This window comes from Homo sapiens, chromosome 6 (assembly GCF_000001405.40).
Source record: "Homo sapiens chromosome 6, GRCh38.p14 Primary Assembly".
Classification (NCBI taxonomy): Eukaryota; Metazoa; Chordata; class Mammalia; order Primates; family Hominidae; genus Homo; species Homo sapiens.
In genome coordinates this window covers 32,066,660-32,083,787 of record NC_000006.12, presented here as the reverse complement: position 1 = coordinate 32,083,787, position 17,128 = coordinate 32,066,660, and the positions used below count along the sequence as shown (strand labels likewise).

Here is a 17,128-nt window from a genome sequence, read left to right as displayed (position 1 = left end):
TTGAGAGGCTTGAGGTGGGAGGATCGCTTGAGCCCAGGAGACCGAGGCTGCAGAGAGCCATGATTGTGCCACTGTACTCCAGCCTGGGTGCTATCCACACTCTGCACAGAGCAACACCCTGTCTCAAAAAAAAGAAAAATGATGATGGGTCAGCTGGGATGGTGGCAGTGGGGCTGGATGGGGGAGGCGAAGGAAAGCAAGGTGTACCAGGCAGCCCCCAGGGTTCTGGATGAGACAGTCCCATTCCCTGAGGCAGGGAGCAGCAGAGGTGGGGAACAACGCCTTAGATAAACTTAGATCAATATCTAAGAGACACTTACATAAATACCTTTTGTGCATTTATTGAGAGTCAGTTGTGATCAAGATGTTCTCTAAGTGGATCATCACACCCCATAAAGCACACCTGGGAGGCATGCCTACTTTATAGGTCAGGAGAATTGAGGCACCAGAGTAGTCGTGTGGGGTTGGGGAAGAGACAGGGCCACTGGAACCCTGTCGACAGCCTACACTCACAGCGGAGGCAGAGGAAGAAGAGCCCACAGGGTAGCTTGCGGAGTGACTTGCAGGGAGGGGCAGAACCAGGGAGGGTGCTGTCTGGACTCCAGGAAGGAGGGTGCGGTTGGACTTGTCAGATTCCGGAACAGTGATTCAAGGGCTACGGAGCGTCCACAGAATTTAGCAATGGCAAGGCCACCCCTGGCCTGCATGAGAGCTGCTGCCTGGTGGAGGGGTGGAGCTGGATCGGGAGGGTGGTGGAGGTGAGGACATGGCTGCAATCAGTGTAGACATCACTTTCTGGAATCTGGGCTGGGAATGAGAGCAAAGAGGGAAGATGGAGGCTAGAGAGAGATGCACACAGAGTGGGGGTGAGGAGGGGTGTGACAGTAGCTTGTTGAAATGCTGATGGCACAGCTGCTGGGGAGTGAAGGGTCAGTGCTGCAGGCGAGGGAGTCCATCCATGGGTCAAAGTTCCCAAAGAGGAGGAGAGGCCTGCAGCATAGATGAGGGAGGCTGTCCCACGTTAAAACGCTTCAAGGATTGTGCTCTCCTCTCTTGGAGAAGAAGCCAGCTAGTAGTTAGGCTTGGAAGCAGTGGAGGTTGTACTGGGAAGATTTCCCTGGCTATGGAGATGTGAAAGGGCCTGGCTGGGCTCCCCTCTTTCTGAAGCTCCCTGCTGCTCTGGTTTGTGGTTGGAGGCAGAGCCACACTAGTCCACGCAGTGCTTCCATGCCGTTTGAAAGAAGGCACCCATTCCTTAAAGTGGACACCACTCCTCACCAGGGCACACAGCTCGGCAAGCAGAGTGCTGGCTGGATTTCAGTCCCTCTGTACTCCCTCAGCAAATGCACTTTTGTGCAGTGAACAACCTGCACAGCCTCACACAGCATTCCTATGTGGGATTTGGCTTCCCCATTCTCCTTGGACCTAAGTCTCTCCCTTCTCTCTACCCACTCTTCCTAGTGCCTCAGAGTGACCCAAGTCCAGGGACTCCACCCCACCTGGGAAACCTGTGGGTGACAGACCCTACCCCAGATTCACTGCACCTCTCCTGGACTGTCCCTGAGGGCCAGTTTGACACCTTCATGGTCCAGTACAGGGACAGGGATGGACGGCCCCAGGTGGTACCTGTGGAAGGGCCCGAGCGTTCATTTGTTGTCTCCTCACTGGACCCTGACCACAAGTACAGATTCACTCTGTTTGGAATTGCGAACAAGAAGCGGTATGGCCCCCTCACGGCCGATGGCACCACTGGTGAGTAGCAGCCACCTCAGCCCCCATGTGACCCCTTCTCAGCCCCATGCACACTTCCCTTCAGCCCAAAACCAGCTGGGGTCCCCCAGCAAGACAGCTGACTCCAGCTTCCCGGCCCCACTCCAGGGCTGAGGGGCAGCCAGACTCCCCCGCACTGCTGGGCCCCTTCCATCCCAAGCAGCAGCTCCCCGTGGCCCAGAAGGTGTGTCATACCCTGGCTGTGTCAGGCTTCCCAGAAGTTTAGCACTCGAATTAATGGACTAGTGACCCCCCACCCCCCATAGGTGTGACATCCCGTCGAAACCCCAAGCCCCAGTCCCAGGCTGCCAGTTCAGCACCTGGCTGGATCTCCTTGTTTACAGCTCCAGAGAGGAAAGAGGAGCCCCCCCGCCCTGAGTTCCTGGAGCAGCCCCTCCTGGGGGAACTGACAGTGACCGGCGTGACCCCAGACTCCTTGCGTCTCTCATGGACAGTGGCCCAGGGCCCCTTCGACTCATTCATGGTCCAGTACAAGGATGCACAGGGGCAGCCCCAGGCAGTGCCTGTTGCGGGGGATGAGAATGAGGTTACTGTCCCCGGCCTGGATCCCGACCGGAAGTATAAGATGAACCTCTACGGGCTTCGTGGCAGGCAGCGTGTGGGGCCCGAGTCTGTGGTGGCCAAGACTGGTGAGTCATGGCTGCCAGGCCTCCCTCCCCTGCTAGCCCCATCCTGTGAGCGGGACTTGGCTGGGGCTCCTTCCAGCCTCCCTCCATCTTCGCCTTCTCAGCTCATTTTGCCAAAGCCTCCACCCACTTCCTCCCGCACTGCTCTCCTGTCCTCTGCATGCCAGGTCCCCCTCATCCAGCCTCCACCTCCTCATCTCTTCCTCAGCCTCACTTCTTCATCTCCAAGGGCAGGTCCTATTTTCCCCCATTCCAAACACCTGGACTCATCCTTCCACCTGGGGCTGTCCTCCCCACAGATGTCCTCACCATTCGGTCACTGTGTTCTCACCCCTCAGTTTTTACTGGGCTCCTTCATGGTCTGGTTTGGGCCATGGTCACTTCTGGGCTTCTGTCACCTGCTGCCCACAACCTCCTGCCATTTCTGCTGTGTTCAGAGGTGGCAGATCCAAGTGACAAGAGCACCACGTTTCTCTAGCCTTTTTGCAGCATGAAGAGGACTCCTCTCAGCTCCCGACTCCTTGACTCCCAGCCCCCTTGGAACAGGGCAAAGGGATTGTGTTCAGCCCAGCATCCCAGCCTGTTCCTCCATGTCCCCAGCCTTTCCCTGTCCAGTGCCATTCCCCTGGCCTGTGAATTATTTGATGAGAGATAGTGTGGATAGTGGTTAGGAGCAAAGACTCCGGAGCCAACTGCCCGAGTCTCACTACCAGCCTTGCAACTTACTTCCTGTAGGACCTTGTGCAAATTGCTTAACCTCTCTGTGCCTCAGCTTTCCCTTCTGTCAGGTGGCTGGATTTCAGTCCCTCTGCACAGAGCTGTTGGAATTACATGAGTTAATATATGTATAACACTTAGAAAGGCCAGGCACAGTGGCTCATGCCTGTAATCCCAGCATTTTGGGAGGCCAAGGCGGGTGGATCACGAGGTCAGGAGATCGAGACCATCCTGGCTAACACGGTGAAACCGTGTCTCCACTAAAAATACAAAAAATTAGCCAGGCATGGTGGCAGGTGCCTGTAGTCCCAGCTACTCAAGAGGATGAGGCAGGAGAATGGCGTGAACCCGGGAGGCGGAGCTTGCAGTGAGCCGAGATCGCGCCACTGCATTCCAGCCTGGGCGACAGAGTGAGACTCCATCTCAAAAAAAAAAACAAAAACAAAAACAAAAAAAGCCCACACACTTAGAATAGTGCTTGGAGCAGCAAAGCATTTTCAGAGTGAGCTGCAATTTCTCCCTGACTCTCTCACTTCCCAGTAATCTTTTTTGCTCCCCACCTCCCTCCCTTCCTCTGGGTTGTCATTCTTGCCAATTCTTTCCTCAATCTGCTATCCCAAAGTAGTCCCCCATGTAGCAGGTCACAGAAGGGCTGGTTTCCCTTGTGCCACAGTCTCCCCACTCCATGGAGCCTCAGCAGAGACCTAACTGTAGGGGGCGGGTAGGTGCCCACAGGGCTGTGATTCCAGAGCCAGCCAGGGAAGGACATGTCTCTCCTTGGATCCCACTCACCCCAGAATTTTTCTCCCACTCATGCCTGGAGCCCTGCCTTAGCAATTCATTCCTTGGGGTTAAAGGGGAGGGAGGGGCAGGGCTGCCTGGGGAGGCCACAGCAAGAGCACATTCCATGGTCAGATCCTCATATGAGGGGTGGGGCAGCCAGAGTGCCCTGGGGAGGGCACAGGTAGGAAGAGGCCTCACTGCCCTCCTCACTGTCTGAGGTCAGCACTGTCAGTGAACGTGGTTTGGAAGAACCCTCAGAGGCTTCCTCTCTTCCCATCTCAGCTCCTTTCTCAGACACGAAGGGAGACCCCTCACCCCCACAGAACCCACCAGAGCAGGATGGGGCAAGGGCTGTCTCAGCCTTCTCCATCCGTGAGTGACCGAATGGCAAATACAAAGGCTACAGAGCCCCTGAGCCCACAGCGTAAGGGCATTTCCATGGCTGTCATCTGTGGGCAGCAGCAGCAAAGCCAGCAGCCCTTTATGCCTCTATCTCTTCTCTCAGCTCCTCAGGAGGATGTGGACGAGACCCCCAGCCCCACAGAACTGGGCACGGAGGCCCCGGAGTCCCCCGAGGAGCCGCTCCTGGGGGAGCTGACAGTGACAGGATCCTCCCCTGATTCGCTGAGCCTCTTCTGGACCGTCCCCCAGGGCAGCTTCGACTCTTTCACCGTGCAGTACAAGGACAGGGATGGGCGGCCCCGGGCGGTGCGTGTTGGGGGCAAGGAGAGTGAGGTCACCGTGGGAGGCCTAGAGCCCGGGCACAAGTACAAGATGCACCTGTACGGCCTCCACGAGGGGCAGCGCGTGGGCCCGGTGTCCGCCGTGGGCGTGACAGGTGAGTGAGGGGCAGGGGCCTGCTTTGGTTCCCTCCCACTGCTGGCTCCCAGCTTCCCTGTAGCCAGTTGCTCTCCTTGCTCCAGTGGAACCTTGAGGCTGCCTGCCAGGGGAAGACCTAGAAAGAGCATGTCACTGGGGACTGGCGTACCACCAGCTTTCATGGCCCTGAGCAAGTTTTAAACTTTCTGCACCTCTGTTTCCTTGTCCGTAAAATGGGGACACCTACCTCACAGAGTTATTGTGAGGGTTAAGTGAGTTAACAGATGTAAAGCATCAAGAATGGGCCTGGCAAAAGTAAATATGCTGCCAGTGTCTGCTGTGAGAATTGTTATAAATATTCTTACTCTGAGGTCTGCTTTGTCCCCTTTGGCTGGTTCAGTTACTTGGTCAGAATGCACATGAATCTAAGGCCATACCACCCTGAAGGTGTCCTATCATCTCCTCTGATCTCAGAAGCTAAGCAGGGTCAGGTCTGGTTAGTACTTGGATGGGAGAATGCGCGTGAGACATTGGCCTCTTCATCAGTACAGCTTGAAGCAAGCTTTCTTTTCTTTCTTGTCTTTTTTTTTTTTTTTTTTTTTTTGAGACAGAGTCTCACTCTGTTGCCCAGCCTGGAGTGCAGTGGTGCGATCTCAGCTCACTGCAACCTCTGCCTCCCAAGTTCAAGTGATTCTCCTGCCTCAGCCTCCCAAATAGCTGGGACTACAGATGCGTGCCACCACACCTGGTTACTTTTTTGTATTTTTAGTAGAGACGGGGTTCACCGTGTTGGCCAGGCTGGTCTCAAACTCCAGATCCTCAAGTGAGCCACCTGCCTCGGCCTCCCAAAGTTCTGGTATTACAGGCGTGAGCCACCACGCCTGACCACAAAGCTTTCTCTTTCTTCTTTCTCTCTTTTTCTTTCTTTCTTTCTTTCTTTCTTTCTTTCTTTCTTTCTTTCTTTCTTTCTTTCTTTCTCTTTCTTTCTGTCTCTCTCTCTCTCTTTCTTTCTTTTTTTCCTTTCTTTCTGTTTTTTGAGCTCTGTTGCCCAGGCTGGAATGCAGTGGTGCAATCTTGGCTCACTGCAACCTTTGCCTCCCAGGTTCAAGTGATTCTCCTGCCTCAGCCTCCCGAGTAGCTGGGATTACAGGCATGCACCACCACACCTGGCTAATTTTTGTATTTTTAATAGAGATGGGGTTTTACCATGTCAGCCAGGCTGGTCTCAAACTCTTGACCTCAAGTGATCCACCCGCCTTGGCCTTCCAAAGTGCTGGGATTATAGGCATAAGCCACCACGCCCGGCCACAAGGCTTTCTTTAATACTCATCCAGTGAGTGACTTTACAGCAAAGAAGAACATCCCTTCCACCCTTTCTCTCAGGCCTGGTTACAGGGCCACATCCACCACCACACAGGACCAGCCTGGGCACCTCCTCTCCAGGGCCTCAGCCCAAGAGGCTGAGTGGACAGCAGTGCCTCTGGGACCCTCGGGCTGACCTGCCCGGTTTAGTCACAGTGAGGGGAATCTCTTTTTTCCTTTGCTCACAGAAACAAAGACACACCTTTCTCAAAAATAACTTTTACTATAAGGGGAAAGATTAAAAAATTAAAAGTAGAGAAATAGATAGTTTTCCAGAACATGGTTTCTGTAATTCCACCAAGCTCAGCCTCATCATGACTTGGTTGATTTCATTTCCAGAACCTTCCACCCTCAATTTATTTTCTTTGCCTCAGTCAGCCCTGAGAAGAGGGAGACGGCAAAGCCACCCTGAGTGGCTGTCCTTGGGGCCTGAGGTTGTAGGGTGGAGGCTGGTGCCAGGCCCAGACATGCTGCCAAGTCTGCTCCTGGAGTGACCCTCCCTCTGCCGCTCTGTCCCAGGGACCCACACTGGGCTCTGTGAGGCCCTGTGCCTGGTCCCTGGGGTAAGGATGGGCTCTGTCAGGCACTGACCAAGTCGGTGCAGTAGAGATAAATGGAGTTTGGGAATCTGACAAACTGAGTTCCTTCCTGTCTTCCTCTGTTCTCAGCTGTATGATTTTTATTTTTTTATTTTATTATTATTTTTTTGAGACAGAGTCTTGCTTTGTCACCCAGGCTGGAGTGCAGTGGCATGATCTCAGCTCACTGCAACCTCTGGCTCCCAGGTTCAAGCAGTCCTCCTGCCTCAGCCCCCCAAGTAGCTGGGATTACAGGCGCCCACCACCACACCCGGCTAATTTTTGTATTTTTAGTAGAGACAGGGTTTCACCATGTTAGCCAGGCTGGTCTCGAACTTCTGACCTCAGATGATCCACCCGCCTTGGCCTCCCAAAGTGCTGGGATTACAGGCGTGAGGCACCGTGCCCAGCCAGCTGTATGATCTTGAAAAACTTACCTCCTCTCCTGGAACCTCAGCTTCCTCATATTCAGGAGGGAGTAAACGCTGCCCAGCTTGTTGTCACGGTTAAAGGTGGTGATGTAACATGTCTGGCATCTTCTCAGCTCATTCATCTTTTGCTCAGACCTTCCCGTGAGGGAATCCCTGTATATCCATGTTCTAATGCTGGATATTTTGAAACATGTATTTTACACGTCCTGGATAAAATAGATGAGGCCCTTTAGGAAAGAAATGGGCATCAGTGCGCATTATCAGAGCAGCAAAAGGACGAAGCAGCTGGAGTCCGCCAAGCTGGGGGCTGTGTCTGGCAGCACACACAGTGCAGTTGCCAGGGGGAGAGGTGCGTGGAGCTCATTAGACACACTTCTAAATTGGAAAAGGACTGTCCCACATGCAGCATGGGGACTGCCAGAGTCATGAATCGTTATAATTGTACCTTTCCAGTTAATCCAAACCACCAGCAATAAAGCTTGATGGTGAAGGACATTTTCATTCCCTCATGGAAAGAAGTGCAGAGAGGGCAAAAAGGAGCAGGGAATGGGTGCTGCAGGAACAAGTAAGGTTAGAAGGCAAATGAAATGAGAGAAAATGCCCAGCCTGGTACCTGTACATAGTAGATGTTCAATACTTGGTGGTCACTCTGCTCCCTCCCACCACCTCAGCTGCCTCCATGCCTGCCCTCCCCAGCCTGACTCATTTCTGTCTGCCCGAGGCCTGGTCACCAGCCTGTTTTAAGCAGTTGTCACTTGCTTGGAGCCTTGTCTTGCCCTCCGGAGGAAGCCAGAGAAACAAGTTCTTGGGAGCCCCACCCATCCAGCCACCTTCTCTGCCATTTTGCCTCTTGGGACCACCTTCTAGTTTGCTCACTAATGAGTGCTTCCTCATGCGGGAGTGGTGGGGATCTGCAGGTCCTGAGCCCAGACCTGTAGACCACTCATTATTTTACAGACATCTGTGGAGCACCTACTGTGTGCCAGGGACTGGGACACAGCAGTGAATAAAGCAGAGCTCCTGCCTGAGGAGCTCACATTCTAGTGGAGAGGGACAGGCAACAAATTGCACAAATATGTCAGTGGCACCGGATGTGACAGTGATGAGTGGTGGGGAAAAGCAGAGCCTAGTAGGGAGACAGCAAGGGCCTCACTGCGAGGGCAGTGTCTGAGGAAAGCCCTGAAGGAGGTGAGAGGACAGCCACCTAGGCCTTTGGGGAAAGAGCATCCCAGACAGAAGGAAGAGCAAATGCAGAGACTGGCAGGCGAGAAGCAGCCCCAGATGTCTGCAGACAGTGAGGAATGCAGTATGTTTTGTGGTGGAGTTGGAGGAGGGCAGGCAATAGGGAATGATCTAAGAGATGAATATGGGACCTCAGAGGCCAGTGCAGGACTTGGATTTCACCCTGAGTGAGGTAGAAGCCACTGCGGGAACCAGCTCTGGCTAATGTGTTAACAGGATCCTTCTGGCTGCAGACCCAACAGACTAAAGGGGGGTGAGGGCAGAAGGCGATGACCTGAGAGAATGTTGTGATAATCCAGGAGGAGCCAGTGGTGCTTGGAGGTGGCAAGGAGGGGTCAGACTCTGAAGGTAGTGACAACAGGCGGATACCCACAGGGCGGATGTGGAGTTTAAGAGAGGACTCGGGGATGACTCTGGCGGTTTAGATCTGAGCAGCTGGAAGAATGAAGTTGTAATCCTGGTCAGGCGTGGAGGATCATGCCTGTAATCCCAGCACTTGGGGAGGCCGAGGCGGGCGGATCACCTGAGGTCGGGAGTTCAAGACCAACCTGACTAACGTGGAGAAACCCCATCTCTACTGAAAATACAAAATTAGCCGGACGTGGTGGCACATGCCTGTAATCCCAGCTACTCAGGAGGCTAAGGCAGGAGAATCGCTTGAACCCAGGAGGCGTAGGTTGCGGTGAGCCGAGAGGGCGCCATCGCACACCAGCCTGAGCAACAACAGCGAAACTCCGTCTCAAAAAAAAAAAGTTGTAATCTTACTGAGGTGGGGAGGCTGTGGCGGGAGCAGGTGTCAGGAAGCTCAGAGGCTCAGTTTTGGACTTGTTGAGTTTGACACACAAGTAGGCCTCCAAGGAAGACGTTGCACGAACACTAGTCTGGGGTTCAGGAGAGGTCTGGACAGAGGGTGTAAATCTGGAGTCATTGGCATATAGATGGAATTTCAGCGCTCTCCCAGGGTGTCAGTGATGGTTGATACTCTTCTCCCCCAACAAATGCAGCCTCAGACACCGAGCAGGGACCTAGTGAAGGACTGTTGACCAGACAGATGTTCAGATCAATGCGCTTTTACATCAAAACCATCATGCGGGTTCCACAAATGCAACAGACATCGCTGGGTGTGGTGGCTCACACCTGTAATCCCAGCACTTTGGGGGCTGAGGCAGGTGGATCACCTGAGGTCAGGGGTTTGAGACCAGCCTGGCCAACATGGCAAATGCCGTCTCCACTAAAAATACACACACACACAAAATTAGGCAGGCATGGTGGCGCACGCCTGTAGTCCCAGCTACTTGGGAGGCTAAGGCAGGAGGATCGCTTGAACCCGGGAGGCAGAGGCTGCAGTGAGCCGAGGTCGCCCACTGCTCTGGGTGACAGCGAGACTCCATCTCAAAAATAAAAAATAAAAAATAAATAACTAGACATCATTACTATAAGAAAAGGGGGATTCTTTACTAACAGCCCCCTACCATCTCTGTCCCAGCCCCACAACAAGAAGAGACCCCTCCAGCCACTGAGTCCCCGCTGGAGCCACGCCTAGGAGAGCTGACAGTGACAGATGTGACCCCCAACTCTGTGGGCCTCTCCTGGACAGTCCCCGAGGGCCAGTTTGACTCCTTCATAGTCCAGTACAAGGACAAGGACGGGCAGCCCCAGGTGGTGCCGGTGGCGGCAGACCAGCGAGAGGTCACAGTCTACAACCTGGAGCCTGAGAGAAAATATAAGATGAACATGTATGGACTACATGATGGGCAACGCATGGGCCCCCTGTCTGTGGTCATCGTGACGGGTGAGTAATGGGGGGACTCAGTCCTCATCTCTGGTTACCCAGAGCTCCCCCACCCCATGGCCCTTCTTCCAGCCCTGCCTTGGTACCACCGCACCCTCACTGAGGGGCTAGATCCCCTCAGGCCCTGGCTCGGTGACCCTGCCAGTCTTTCTGTTCCCTGACCCCTTTACTCCTCCCAGGGCTAGAGCCTTCTCAGCCCTCCAGCTCCTTCCCCATCTCCACTCTGCCCCCCGCCCAGGGGAATGTCTTATTTCCATTTGGCCTAAATCCAGCCACAGACTTTCTCTCCCCCTCTCCGACTGCCCACAGCTGTTTCCACCCCTTCTCTTTACAACCCTGCTGTGACTTGGACACAGCTGCCACCTCCTGCTTCTGCCCTTTTTTGTTGAGGCGAAGTGCTTTACATCCTGAGTCCCTTCTCAGGAGTCCTCTGCCACCTGCCTGCACTGCATTCCATCCCAGCCCTGGAGAGTTTTCATCTCTCCAGGAGGCTGCCTCACTCTTGCTCTGGGCTCCTTCCTGCCCCTCATGGCTTCCTGGGCACAGGTTCTCCATGATTGTTGTGCTGTGGCATCTGGTGAAACCCCTACCCCACCTGAAGGCAATGTTTTTAAATCTGTAAAATAAGCTGTATAGGATTACAAAGGAAACATTATATTTATAGACAGTTATCAAAATATTTCTTTTTTATTTTTGAGATGGAGTTTTGCTCTTGTCATCCAGGCTGGAGTGCAATGGCGCGATCTCGGCTCACTGCAACCTCCGCTTCCCAAGTTCAAGCAATTCTCCTGCCTCAGCCTCCCGAGTAACTGGGATTACGGGCACGTGCCACCACACCCAGCTAATTTTTTGTATTTTTAGTAGAAACAGGGTTTCGCCATGTTGGCCAGGCTGGCCTCAAACTCCTGACCTCAGGTGATCCACCCGCCTCGGCCTGGCATGAGCCACTGCACCCGGCCCAAAATATTTCTTAAAAATCCAAAGTTACGATTTAGTAATACTTGGACTTATTTACTAGTTCATTAAATAACAGGACTTGGTGGCGCGTTTACTAAACTACAAAATTTAGAAGCAGTGATGGATATAAAAGGTATTTTAAAGTTTCTGCAATAACTCTAAGGTGACATGAAAACATCTGTGGTTTCTATTGGTAACAAAGTCACAATAATTCTACTCTGGTGGGTTTTCTATATTAGTTTTGGAAAGAAATGCTGCATTTCAGTTAGAGGTCTGGAAGTAAAGGTGTAACTATTCCCCATCTCAGTTCACAGCCCCCCTGAGGCCCTCAAAGCCCAGGGGTTCTCCCCTCAGAGATCTCAACCATGTTCTTTGTCTTCCCAAATCCCAGCTCCCCTCCCACCAGCCCCAGCCACAGAGGCCTCCAAGCCTCCCCTGGAGCCACGCCTAGGGGAGCTGACAGTGACGGATATAACCCCTGACTCTGTGGGCCTCTCATGGACAGTCCCTGAGGGTGAATTCGACTCCTTTGTGGTTCAGTACAAGGACAGGGACGGGCAGCCCCAGGTGGTGCCCGTGGCTGCAGATCAGCGGGAGGTCACTATCCCTGACCTGGAACCCTCCCGCAAGTACAAGTTCCTGCTCTTTGGGATCCAGGATGGGAAACGACGCAGCCCAGTCTCTGTGGAGGCAAAGACGGGTGAGATGGGCCCCTACACAGCTGAGCCTGAGGCCACAGCCTTCCCACCCTTCTCTTCACTCCCTCTGCTGAGTCTTCCCTTTGTCCACCTGCTCTGTCTCATTTGAAAAGCCACATGGGGCTAGCACAGTGACTCATGCCTGTAATCCCAGCACTTTGGGAGTCCAAGGCAGGTCAGGAGTTTGAGACCAGTCTGGCCAACATGGCAAAACCCTGTCTCTACTAAAAAGACAAAAATTAGCTGGGTGTGGTGATGGGTGCTAGTAATTCCAGCTACTCGGGAGTCTGAGGCACAAGAATCACTTGAACCCAGGAGGTGGAGGCTGCAGGGAGCTGAGATTGCGCCACTGCACTCCAGCCTGGGTGATAGAGCCAGACTCCGTCTCAAAAAAGACCAAAAAAAAAAAAAAAGAAAGAAAAGCCGCAAAGCAGATGAGGACCAGGAGAGTGGGGCCAGTTCCTGGGTCTGCTGTCCCCTGCTGACTCTGCCTCTCTTCTCGTAATTTCCACTTTTGTTGGATGAGGGAAGCCCCTACAGGCCTCTTCCTGCAGGGTGGATGTGGGAGCCTGGGGGTGCTGGGAGAAGGGGCGAGGGGAGCCAGGAACCCTTCCTGCCTTGCGAATCCATCACCTCCTGAGAGTCTTTGTTGTCTCCCCTGTGACTCTCACCCAGGTTCTCACCCTCCTAGCTCAGGCCTGTCTGGGCCCATATGTGCCTCCTACAGAGGCTGCCCTTCCTTCTCTGCCCTCCTCCTGAAGTCTCAGAAATTGGGAACCAGAGGAGCCCAGCCCAGCTGTGCCCCTTTCCGAGGGTTCAGTCCAAGCCCTCCCCTGCCCCTGGGGGCTCCCTATTGCCAGAAAACTTGCAATAACAATGTCGTCAGCGTCCTCACCGTCCAGGAAGGCAGCAGGCCAGCTCCTTCTCAAGCCCTGGGATGGCTCCTCAGGCAGACACCAGATCCCTTCCCTGCCTGAGCTCCCCGGCATCATCCCCCTCAACATTCTCACAGGCAGCCCACGCTCCTTCACCAGGCCCAGTGGGAGCCTTAGTTCTCCCGGGCCAGCCGGTGCAGAATAAGAAAGGGAACGGAGAAGGGTGAGAACTACCTGTGTCGTAACATCCTGCCTCCCTGACCTGCCGAGTGCCCCCATCAGGGATCCTGCGCTCCTCGGGGCCGGCCAAATCACCCCTTTCCTCAGGGGCCGGCCAAATCACGGCCAAATCGTGTGCTCCTGGGTAAGAGGAGATAGAGACCCAGTCTGTAAGAAGCTGCACCCTGCTGGGGAAGCAGTCTGTGAGAGGCGGAAAGAGGCTGGACAGAAAGGGGAGTAAGATGAGGCAGGGAGCTAGGGAATCTCTTTTCCTGGAGGTGACTCAGGACAGGTGACCCTCCCCACTTGGGTCAAGGGGAGAGAGGCATGGACCAGACGGAGATGGTGGTGAGGATGGGAGGTGATGGAAATATTTTGGGGAAGCACTGAGCATTTGGGCAGTTCTGGGTTTTTCCAGCCCCAGAGGGAGGCAGTCAAGGAGTCGTTTTGGAAAAAATAAACACAAGAACCTTTCCTCTCCAGTTGCCCGAGGTGACGCCAGCCCAGGGGCCCCACCCCGCCTTGGGGAGCTGTGGGTGACAGACCCCACCCCAGACTCACTGCGCCTCTCCTGGACGGTTCCTGAGGGCCAGTTCGACTCTTTTGTGGTCCAGTTCAAGGACAAAGACGGGCCCCAGGTGGTGCCCGTGGAGGGCCATGAGCGCTCTGTCACTGTCACCCCTCTGGATGCCGGCCGCAAGTACAGATTCCTCCTCTATGGCCTCCTGGGCAAGAAGCGCCATGGCCCTCTCACTGCCGACGGCACCACGGGTGAGGGGCATTCCCTGCAGGTCCCTGCTCTGCTCCCCTCAGGCCAAGCAGCAGACGGTCACTTGTGGTGGCTGCCATTACCATTATTTGGCCCCAGCCACTCGGCTCAGATCCAGCTCCCCACGTCCCTGCACAAGCCCCTAGCACAGCCCGGCAGGACTCAGCCACGCAAAGCCCTGTCTCCAGACCTCTCAATCCTGCCCGTCGAGGTCACCCAGTCTTCCAGAAACAGCTCAGCCGTTTCCTCTCCGTGTCTCCATCTCAGAAGCCCGGAGTGCTATGGATGATACTGGAACAAAGCGTCCCCCAAAACCCCGTCTGGGGGAGGAGCTGCAGGTGACCACCGTGACCCAGAACTCCGTGGGCCTCTCCTGGACAGTCCCTGAGGGCCAGTTTGACTCCTTTGTGGTCCAGTACAAAGACAGGGACGGGCAGCCCCAGGTGGTGCCCGTGGAGGGCAGCCTCAGGGAGGTCAGCGTGCCGGGCCTGGACCCTGCCCACAGGTACAAGCTGCTGCTCTACGGGCTGCACCACGGCAAGCGTGTGGGCCCCATCTCGGCCGTCGCCATTACTGGTGAGTGTGCGGCAGCTGGAACACCTGTGCCTCCTTCCCGCCTGGCTCTCCTGGTCTGACTGAGCCATAAGATCTCTGAGCTTCCCATTTTATATCATTTCCATTGATCCAGAAAGTTTCCTTGTGCCCCTTTAGAGTCAGTTGCCCCAGTCCCAGCCTCCAGCAACCACTGTCTGCTTTCGATCATCCTGGAGACAGCATTTTGACTCTCCATGTAATGGAATCACAATACGCAGTCTCTTGTGTTTCATTTCTTGCAATTAGCACAATGCTTTTGAAATTCACCCATGTGCAGCAAAAGCTGGTCTTTCGATTGCTGACTGCTTGCCCTCACTCCCTCTCCTCCCTCACTCCTCCTGAGAGTCTGGGTGCAGCGACACACCAGCCATCTGTCTCTACCTGTCTCTGTGAACCAGCCGGCAGGGAAGAAACGGAAACTGAGACCACGGCCCCGACCCCTCCAGCGCCTGAGCCCCACCTCGGGGAGTTGACAGTGGAGGAGGCCACGTCACACACCCTGCATCTCTCCTGGATGGTGACTGAGGGAGAATTTGACTCCTTCGAAATCCAGTACACAGATAGAGACGGGCAACTCCAAATGGTCCGCATAGGAGGTGACCGGAATGACATCACCCTCTCTGGCCTGGAATCCGACCACAGATACCTGGTGACCCTGTATGGTTTCAGTGATGGGAAGCATGTAGGTCCTGTCCATGTCGAGGCCCTGACAGGTGAGAACTCTGCCCACTATGCCTCCTTTCAGATGGCTGGGAGAGTCCAGAGGACAGCAGAGTCCCGCGGATACCCTGCCCACCTCAGTCCTCTCTTTCCATGTCTCTGTCCAGTCCCGGAGGAGGAGAAGCCTTCAGAACCTCCCACCGCAACCCCCGAGCCCCCCATCAAGCCTCGCCTGGGGGAGCTGACCGTGACAGATGCCACCCCTGACTCCCTCAGCCTGTCCTGGACAGTTCCCGAGGGACAGTTTGACCACTTCCTGGTCCAGTACAGGAATGGAGATGGGCAGCCCAAGGCAGTGAGGGTGCCAGGGCACGAGGAAGGGGTCACCATCTCGGGCCTGGAGCCAGACCATAAATACAAGATGAACCTGTACGGCTTCCACGGTGGCCAGCGCATGGGCCCTGTGTCTGTCGTCGGGGTGACAGGTGAGTGGATGATGGGAGCCCCAGGGTGGGAGCCATGGGAGGGTCACCCTCTTGCTCTTTGGTGATGACTGGTGGGGAATGGGACAAGGGTCTGGTCAGCACCACAGACCTGCTTGTGGCTGGGGCTGGGGCTCCCCTTGGGCCTTCCTGTGAGGTTGACCACTGGCTCCTCCTGAACAGAGAGGGGCCATCGGGAATTTTGCTGTGCTGGTGGCTGTCCCAGGTCCCCCACAGCTGACCCTGGAACTTGTCATGTGTGTTAGCTGTCAGCTGAGCAGGACCACCCAGCCCCAAGAGTAGGCCTCTCTGAACTGACCTCGGGTCCCCCAGTCATAGCCTTGGCTTCTCCCTCCTTTTCCCCAGTACCCAAGGACATCCCCCTCACTCTCTCTTCCTCCTTCTCAGCTGCAGAGGAAGAGACCCCCAGCCCCACAGAACCCAGCATGGAGGCCCCGGAGCCCGCTGAGGAGCCGCTCCTGGGGGAGCTAACAGTGACAGGATCCTCCCCTGACTCGCTGAGCCTCTCCTGGACCGTCCCCCAGGGCCGCTTCGACTCCTTCACCGTGCAGTACAAGGACAGGGACGGGCGGCCCCAGGTGGTGCGTGTTGGGGGCGAGGAGAGTGAAGTCACCGTGGGGGGCCTGGAGCCTGGGCGCAAGTACAAGATGCACCTGTACGGCCTCCACGAGGGGCGGCGCGTGGGCCCAGTGTCTGCTGTGGGCGTCACGGGTGAGTGTGCACTGCAGAGCCCTCTGGGTTGGGTCTTAGCAAAGTACAGCCTCCAGCATCTCCTCCACTAGGGACCCAGAACCCCAAGACCTCAAACCTGTAATACACCCTGTTCACTAAAGGCTCAGGACAGGTGTGATCTGGGGACAGAGAGAGCAAATCCAGGAGAAGTGTCGGAGCCATATGGGAAAGGCCCCCAGGGACTGAGGCCTCTTGGGAGGTGATTCACTGGCTGGTTTGTGGCTCTCCGCTTTTCCTTGGAACTCTATACATAACTCTTTTTGTGAGATTGGAACACATTTTTGAAATACAAATTAATTAAATTAATAAGTATTTGTTAAATAAAATTTCAAATGTATAAACAGAAAGAATAGTACAAAGACCCTGCCATCCTCCTTCAATCAAATATCGACTTCTGGCCAGTCTGGCTCATCTCTGCCCCACCCACTTCCTCCACTAGAATCACTAGAATGTTTTCTTTCTTTCTTTCTTTCTTTCTTTCTTTCTTTCTTTCTTTCTTTCTTTCTTCCTTCCTTTCTTTCTTTCTCTTTCTTTCTTTCTTTCATTCTTTTCTTTCTTTCTTTTTAGACAAGGTCTCACTCTGTCGCCTGGGCTAGAGTGTACTGGCACAGTCACAATTCACTGCACTGCAGCCTCAACCTCCTGGGCTTAAGGGATCCTCCCACTTCAGCCTCCCGAATAGCTGGGACTACAAGTGCACTCCACCATGCCCAGCTAATTTTTTGTATTTTTTGTAGAGACAGGGTTTAGCCATGTTGCCCAGGCCAGTCTCGAACTCCTGGGCTCAAGTTATCCTCCCACCTCAGCCAAAGTGATAGGATTCCAGGCGTGAGCCGCCACACCCGGCCTGAATGTTTTCTTTATTAACACCTTTATGGAGATATAATTCATGTGGCATAAAATACACTTGTTTTTAGTGTACAACTTACTGATTTTAGTATCTTTACCTACTTGTGCAGCCATCACCACGATCTAATTTT

General features: G+C 54.4%; 1 protein-coding gene and 1 pseudogene across 3 annotated transcripts in view, besides 4 other annotated features; both read left to right on the top strand.

The window, feature by feature from the left end:
* Nucleotides 1-17,128, top strand: part of TNXB (tenascin XB) — a 68,186-nt gene that overhangs the window by 25,551 nt on the left and 25,507 nt on the right. For all 3 annotated transcript variants that reach the window (NM_019105.8, NM_001365276.2, NM_001428335.1), the window contains 10 exons: nucleotides 1,462-1,752; nucleotides 2,115-2,420; nucleotides 4,423-4,755; nucleotides 9,836-10,141; nucleotides 11,490-11,798; nucleotides 13,374-13,661; nucleotides 13,927-14,235; nucleotides 14,652-14,966; nucleotides 15,081-15,398; nucleotides 15,804-16,127. In NM_019105.8, coding sequence (NP_061978.6) covers nucleotides 1,462-1,752; nucleotides 2,115-2,420; nucleotides 4,423-4,755; nucleotides 9,836-10,141; nucleotides 11,490-11,798; nucleotides 13,374-13,661; nucleotides 13,927-14,235; nucleotides 14,652-14,966; nucleotides 15,081-15,398; nucleotides 15,804-16,127 — 3,099 coding nt within the window. The remainder of the gene's footprint in view (nucleotides 1-1,461; nucleotides 1,753-2,114; nucleotides 2,421-4,422; nucleotides 4,756-9,835; nucleotides 10,142-11,489; nucleotides 11,799-13,373; nucleotides 13,662-13,926; nucleotides 14,236-14,651; nucleotides 14,967-15,080; nucleotides 15,399-15,803; nucleotides 16,128-17,128) is intronic.
* Nucleotides 1,665-2,180: an enhancer, noted in NCBI's record as "H3K4me1 hESC enhancer chr6:32049385-32049900 (GRCh37/hg19 assembly coordinates)". NCBI's record gives its function as "activates a minimal SCP1, AML or CMV promoter by ChIP-STARR-seq in naive H9 embryonic stem cells {active_cell/tissue: H9 hESC(naive)}" and the evidence as "EXISTENCE:reporter gene assay evidence [ECO:0000049][PMID:30033119]".
* RNA5SP206 (RNA, 5S ribosomal pseudogene 206) lies at nucleotides 5,160-5,280 on the top strand (annotated as a pseudogene).
* Nucleotides 9,951-10,451: an enhancer, noted in NCBI's record as "H3K4me1 hESC enhancer chr6:32041114-32041614 (GRCh37/hg19 assembly coordinates)". NCBI's record gives its function as "activates a minimal SCP1, AML or CMV promoter by ChIP-STARR-seq in naive H9 embryonic stem cells {active_cell/tissue: H9 hESC(naive)}" and the evidence as "EXISTENCE:reporter gene assay evidence [ECO:0000049][PMID:30033119]".
* Nucleotides 10,487-11,343: an enhancer, noted in NCBI's record as "H3K4me1 hESC enhancer chr6:32040222-32041078 (GRCh37/hg19 assembly coordinates)". NCBI's record gives its function as "activates a minimal SCP1, AML or CMV promoter by ChIP-STARR-seq in naive H9 embryonic stem cells {active_cell/tissue: H9 hESC(naive)}" and the evidence as "EXISTENCE:reporter gene assay evidence [ECO:0000049][PMID:30033119]".
* Nucleotides 12,238-13,238: an enhancer, noted in NCBI's record as "H3K4me1 hESC enhancer chr6:32038327-32039327 (GRCh37/hg19 assembly coordinates)". NCBI's record gives its function as "activates a minimal SCP1, AML or CMV promoter by ChIP-STARR-seq in naive H9 embryonic stem cells {active_cell/tissue: H9 hESC(naive)}" and the evidence as "EXISTENCE:reporter gene assay evidence [ECO:0000049][PMID:30033119]".